This window comes from Homo sapiens, chromosome 22, assembly GCF_000001405.40.
Source record: "Homo sapiens chromosome 22, GRCh38.p14 Primary Assembly".
NCBI classification, from domain to species: Eukaryota; Metazoa; Chordata; class Mammalia; order Primates; family Hominidae; genus Homo; species Homo sapiens.
In genome coordinates, this window is record NC_000022.11 from 33,718,187 (window position 1) to 33,724,366 (window position 6,180).

The following is a 6,180-nucleotide window of genomic DNA, read 5'->3' on the forward strand; positions in this document are numbered from 1 at the left end:
CAGAGAACAAACACCTGGGGATCAATACCAACAGGCTGACCAAAGAAGAGGCCCATCCTCCTGCTCTGAGAACCCCCGGCTAAGTGTGACCCATCAGGACCTCAGCTGCTCACCAAAGACAGCACTGTGGAGAGCCAGACCAGGTGCTGGGAAAAATCCAAGATAGTGACCAATTTATGAGAGGAACTAGATTGGACAAACTGGAAGGCACAGACTGAGGCTAAGAAAATAGGACAGGAGGCTTTTTAGAGGAAATCTGTTCATACTGAGGATAATTAATGAATGTGCTGAATGGACTCTCAGAGGTAGTCACAGAAGCTGAAGCCATGATTTTTAATAGACATAGGTTCTTATTGGGTGAAAACAACATGAGCTTTTTGGCTCGCCACATGGCCAGTGGGCTAAGTTCTTTCCATCCTGATCCACAGTTATTTTATGGTGAGGTGCCTTCCCTATCCTAACTCCAATCAATGCACGTTCATGCCCCTGAAGACCTCTCAGTGAAATAAGTGGAGGTGGAAGACAGTGATACTGATAATCCTGAACCTGTGTGGGTCTCAGCTAAAGTAAAGTGTGTACTTGTATCTTTGTTTTGTTTTCTTTTTTTCTGAGATGGAGTCTCGCTCTGTCGCCCAGGCTGGGTCACCAGGCTGGAGTGCAGTGGCATGATCTTGGCTCACGGCAACCTCCACCTCCCAGGTTCAAGCGATTCTCCTGCCTCAGCCTCCCAAGTGGCTAGGATTACAGGTGCCCACCACCACACAGCTATTTTTTGTACTTTTAGTAGAGACGGAGTTTCACCATGTTGGCCAGGCTCATCTCAAACTCCTGAGCTCAGGTGATCCACCCGCCTCAGCCTCCCAAAGTGCTGGGATTACAGCCATGAGCCACCACACCCGGCTGTATCTTTGTTTTCAACAAAAAAGTTTAAAAAGTAAAAATTAAAAGATTTAAAAACAGCAAAAAGCTTACAGTGTAAGGATATAAAACATTTTTGTACAGCTATACAATGCGTTTGTTAGAAGCTGAGTGTTACGACAAGAGTCAAAAAGCTTAAAAATATTTCAAAGTTTATAAAGTAAAAAAGTTACAGCAAACTAATGTAGCATGACTAAAGATGGCAAAACAGTTTTACAAATTTAGTGTAGCATAAGTGCGCAGTGTTTAGAAAGTCTACGGTAGTACACAGTAATGCCCTAGCCCTTCACATTCACACACCACTCACTCACTGACTCACCCAGAGAAAGAAACTTCCAGTTCTACAGGCTCCATTCATGGTAAGTGCCCTATACAGGTATGCCATCTATACCATATTTATTTATTTATTTATTTATTTATTTATTTATTTTTTTGAGACAGAGTCTCACTCTGTCACCCAGGCTGGAGTGTAGTGGCACAGTCTCGGCTCATTGCAACCTCCGCCTCCCAGATTCAAGCAATTCTCCTGCCTCAGCCTCCTGAGTAGCTGGGACTACAGGTGCCCACCACAACGCCTGGCTAATTTTTTATATTTTTAGTAGAGATGGGGTTTCACCATATTAGCCAGGATGGTCCTGATTTCCTGACCTCATAATCTGCCCGCCTTGGCCTCCCAAAGTACTGGGATTACAGACGTGAGCCACCGCACCTGGCTCATCTATACCATATTTTTACTGTACCTTTTCCATGTTTAGGTACACAAATGCTTACCATTGTGTTACAATTGCCTCCGGTAGTCAGTACAGTCACATGCTATACAGGTTTGCTGCCTAGAGGCAATAGGCTATACCAGCAGTCCCCAGCCTTTTTGGTACCAGGTACCGGTTTTGTGGAAGACCATTTCTCCGCAGACAAAGGTTGGGGGAAGGGGATGGTTTGGGGATGTTTTAGATACATTATATTTATTGTGTACTTTATTTCTATTATTATTACATTGTAATATATAATGCAGTAATTATACAACTCACCATAATGTAAAATCAGTGGGAGCCCTGAGTTTGTCTTCCTGCAATTAGACAGTCCCATCTGGGGGTGATGGGAGACAGTGACAGATCATCAGGCATTAGATTCTCATAAGGAGCCCTCTTGTGCTCAGTTCACAATAGGGTTTGCAATAATGTAATGCCACTGCCGATCTGACAGGAGGCGGAGCTCACGGGGTAACGGGAGTGATGGGGAGTGGCTGTAAATACAGATGAAGCTTCTCTCACTGGCCGGCAGTCCCTAACCTCCTGCTGTGTGGCCATGTTCCTAATAGGCCACGGACTGGTACCAGGGGCTGAGGACCCCTGGGCTATACTATATAGGCTAGGTGTACACTCTATGATATTTATATAACAACAAAATTGCCTAACAACGCATTTCTCAGAATGTATCCCAGTCATACGCATGACTATACTACAAAAGTACTACAATTACTTTTTAATAATTTGTTTTCTTTACTGAGAGTGACTGCACCAGCACACACTTGAGGTCCAAGTCCCAGAGTCCAGAGAATGTGGCCTGTGGTTACATAAGATTGGAAAAGCAAATATCAGAGAAGGAACTGGCTACAAAGTGGACAGGGCCTACATCTCACAGATCCTTGTAGGCCTGAAGAAGTGTAGACTGACTTAAGCCACTGGTGGTTTAAGCAAGGGAGTGTAGTGGCTGGTCTGCTGATCTGGTGTCACGGCAGAGATGATTCCTAAGAAAAGATAAGGCTTCTGAGGCCAGGGGGCTGCTGGAAAAAGAGCAGCCCAATTCCCAGGAATGCCCTCCTCAAGCAGGGAAAGAGAGCCTGCTTTGGGTGGGTAATTTTTGGGGTCCTTAGTGCTTACGGGATTCCTGGAGGAGTGAAAGGAAACCAGATATTCAGAGCATGAAAGTAAACCAAATCCTCTTGATGGAAAACAAAGAAATGGAGGCAAAGGAAGTGGAATTCAACAGTGTGGTGTCAACTAAACAACAAAACTGGGCTTTATCATTTGCAGCTGCTACAATATTTAGTGAGGCTACCTATGTAGAAGTGACTTTGGAACCAGGTATTGTGGAGGAGAAGAGGACTGAACTTAAGACTTGCTAGTTCTACCCTGAAATCCTGGCTTTCCAGAGGTAGGACCCTGAACAAGACATTAAATCAGAGCAAAACACACATTCCTTCTGAATGGCAATAGTCTCATTCATAGAATATGGGCAAAAATTCCTGTTTCCACAGGTGTATTATGACGATTAGGTGAGAATTTGAATGTGCAAGTTTCTTATGGGTGCCATGCTTGATAACCACAGAGGACTATTATCAATTCATACAATATCGAAATTCACCCACTTACCTTAAATGTCTGGGTGAAATAGGGAAAGGCAAAGAACAAGAAAGTACACACACCTATGAGCATAAAAGGGCAACACACTTGTGAACATTCTCAGCAAGTGTCTTTAAAGACGATCTTCTAAGGCAAATCCATGCCCCCAACTGAAGGGCAGCTTATAAATTTGCCAAAGAATCAGAGCAGCCACACAGTAAATGCATGTGCGGCTCCTTAAAAGCTTATTAAATGGTGCAGGTTAAAGGTATCGTAGAAAAACTCTAAGTGGCATAGAAGGACAAAGAACTTCTCACAGAAGCTCTGGACTGTGCATCCTGATTGGTCTGAGTGGTATCTTTTTCCTTGGTACAAGCAGGAACACAAAAGCCTTATGTACAACCCCCATACTGTTTTGTACTCTTTATTTTTGTTTTTGTCTTTATTTTTGTCTTTGGTATATTGTTTTATAGGCAGCAGTCACAGCCACAATGGAGATCCTTGGGTAAAAAATTACTTTGTTGGCTGAGCGCAGTGGCTCACGCCTGTAATCCCAGCAGTTTGGGAGGTCAAGGCGGTTGGATCACCTGAGGTCAGGAGTTCAAGACCAGCCTGGCCAACATGGTGAAACCCCGTCTCTACTAAAAATACAAAAAATTAGCCGGGCGTGGTGGTGGGCATCTGTAATCTCAGCTACTCGGGACTCTGAGGCAGGAGAATCGCTTGAACCTGGGAGGCGGAGGTTGCAATGAGCCGAGATCACGCCACTGCCCTCTAGCCTGGGAGGGAGAAAGGAAGGGAGGAAGAGGGAGAGGGAGAGGAGGGAGAGGGAGAGGAGGGAGAGGGAGAGGAGGGAGAGGGAGAGGAGGGAGAGGGAGAGGAGGGAGAGGGAGAGGAGAGGAGGGAGAGGGAGAGAGAAGAAAGGAAAGGAAGGAAAGGAAGGAAAGAAGGGAGGGAATTACTTTGTCAATTATAAGTCATTAGGAAGATACTAAGGTCAATGATGTGGTGATGACAAAAATAACAGTAACAAATATTGTGACAAATACAACGGTAAAAGTCCTTCAAGTGAATGAAAACGTGTTGAGCACCTATGATGTGCATGGAACCGAGCTGCACATTATGGGGGAAATACATCATTCCTGCCCTTAGAATTGAATGAACACTCAAAAACATCCAACAGAGTCACAGCAGAAGGCACGTTATAGTAAGTCACCCAATGGAGGGAAGTATAATGGCAAGACCAAAGACAGAAAAATAATCCTGATAAGACAGAATGGAAGAAACAGTGAAGAGGGACTCTACAAAAAAGGTGAGGTAGGTCTAGGAAGAAGGGGGTGGACCCTGCATGAGTTAACAACACAGAGACAGAAAAGGAACACGTGCATTCAGGGAACCATCGAGGCCGCAGCATGGGTAGGCTGCTGATTGGGGTCGCAAGTGGGAGTTGAGGTCGGAGCTTGGGGGTGAGCTGTTTTGATGACGTTGTAAAGGGAAATTAGAGCAAGATCCTGGAATGCGGTAAGTGAGCCACTAACAATATCTGGCCTTACTCACTTGCTTTCTAGGCAATGAGGAGCCACAGAAAGCCTTTGAACAGGGAGTGGCACAGCCTTTGAGGAAGATTCCTCTGGAATCTATACGAAAGGCTGGAGGATAAAAGGAGGCAGAAAGCAAAGCCAAAGGGGTCAGACAGAAGCTAGCAAAGGCTTGTTCGAACAAGGAAGCCATTAGAGACAATTACAAGAAAGAGAAGTTTCTAGTTTAAAAGAACCGTATGAAGCTCTCGTTAAAAAGAAAACGGAGTTGCAGTAGTGAATTTCCAGGTTGGCTGCAGACCAAGCCCAGATTTAGGTTCACGGTGTAAAGAGCACAGCCTTCAGGGTCCAGGGGCAAAGGGAGGCATGCCATCTTTCTTTCTCCCAAGAAACAGCTCCAGGATGTGGGTGATGTACAAAGAAATTCTAGAATCAGCTCATGTCTACAGATGCTTTGGAAATCCATTGTGTCCAGTGAGGTACTGTAAGGTGATGAGTGGAAACAAGAATGAAAAAGGTGCTTGCTGATTCCAAAAACCTTACACACAGACACACACACTGATATCAGGCGGATTTGGGTAAGGCTCATATGAAGTTAATCAACAAATCAAGGGAAAAGGGACATGGAATTTGGAAAATGACTAAGAAATGTTGGAAGATAAAATTTGTGGTGTACCTTAGAGAGAAAAACTCCTGTATTTCAGGAGACTGCCATCCACACAGGCATTCTGAGCCCCCCTTTTTTCCCCCTCTACCCATGTGTGATGGTCTCTCTGCGGGACCTCATTCATTCACACAACTCCCTATACCACCCTTAACCTGAGAAGGGCCCGGCTGGGCCACCAAACCCAATTGCGATTCATCACTGAGCCCAGCCTTTGGTTGCAGCCAAAACAGGAAAGAGAATGAAGGAGGCTAGAAATACCACAAAGGCAAACTTGGAGCTAGTGCCCACCAAACCAATTCCCTGCTTCAGAAATGGAACGATGCTGAACTGTCAGCTGAAGAAGGCTGCACAGCTTGAAAGAGGAAGCGTCAAAGGAAGCTTGGTGGAGAGGAGAGTGTGAATAGGGAAGTGCCAACAGGGACACGTGCAGGGGGTGGGAAGGCAGGCAGGACGCCCAGTGAGAGTGACAGAGGCCAGCAGAGCACGAGTGTGCAAGGAAACACAGGGAACGAGAGGCTGCGTGGCTGACAGTGTGCCGGGGTGACAGGCGGATACGGCACATGACGCAGAGTGGAAGACAACCACAGGTAGAGAAGTGTCAGCAAAGGAATGCATTTTTGCTGTTCTCCTAACAATTCAGCACACATCAGATGGGAAGGGTGAAGGAGGAGAGCATGAGACAGGGGTGAAAAGCAGAGCCACAGGGACAATGAAG

The 6,180-nt window shown here is 45.6% G+C and overlaps 1 protein-coding gene across 22 annotated transcripts in view, besides 1 other annotated feature; it reads right to left on the bottom strand.

The window, feature by feature from the left end:
• Positions 1-6,180, bottom strand: part of LARGE1 (LARGE xylosyl- and glucuronyltransferase 1) — an 856,162-nt gene that overhangs the window by 651,524 nt on the left and 198,458 nt on the right. The window lies entirely within an intron of this gene.
• Positions 4,098-4,626: an enhancer, noted in NCBI's record as "H3K27ac-H3K4me1 hESC enhancer chr22:34118270-34118798 (GRCh37/hg19 assembly coordinates)". NCBI's record gives its function as "activates a minimal SCP1, AML or CMV promoter by ChIP-STARR-seq in naive H9 embryonic stem cells {active_cell/tissue: H9 hESC(naive)}" and the evidence as "EXISTENCE:reporter gene assay evidence [ECO:0000049][PMID:30033119]".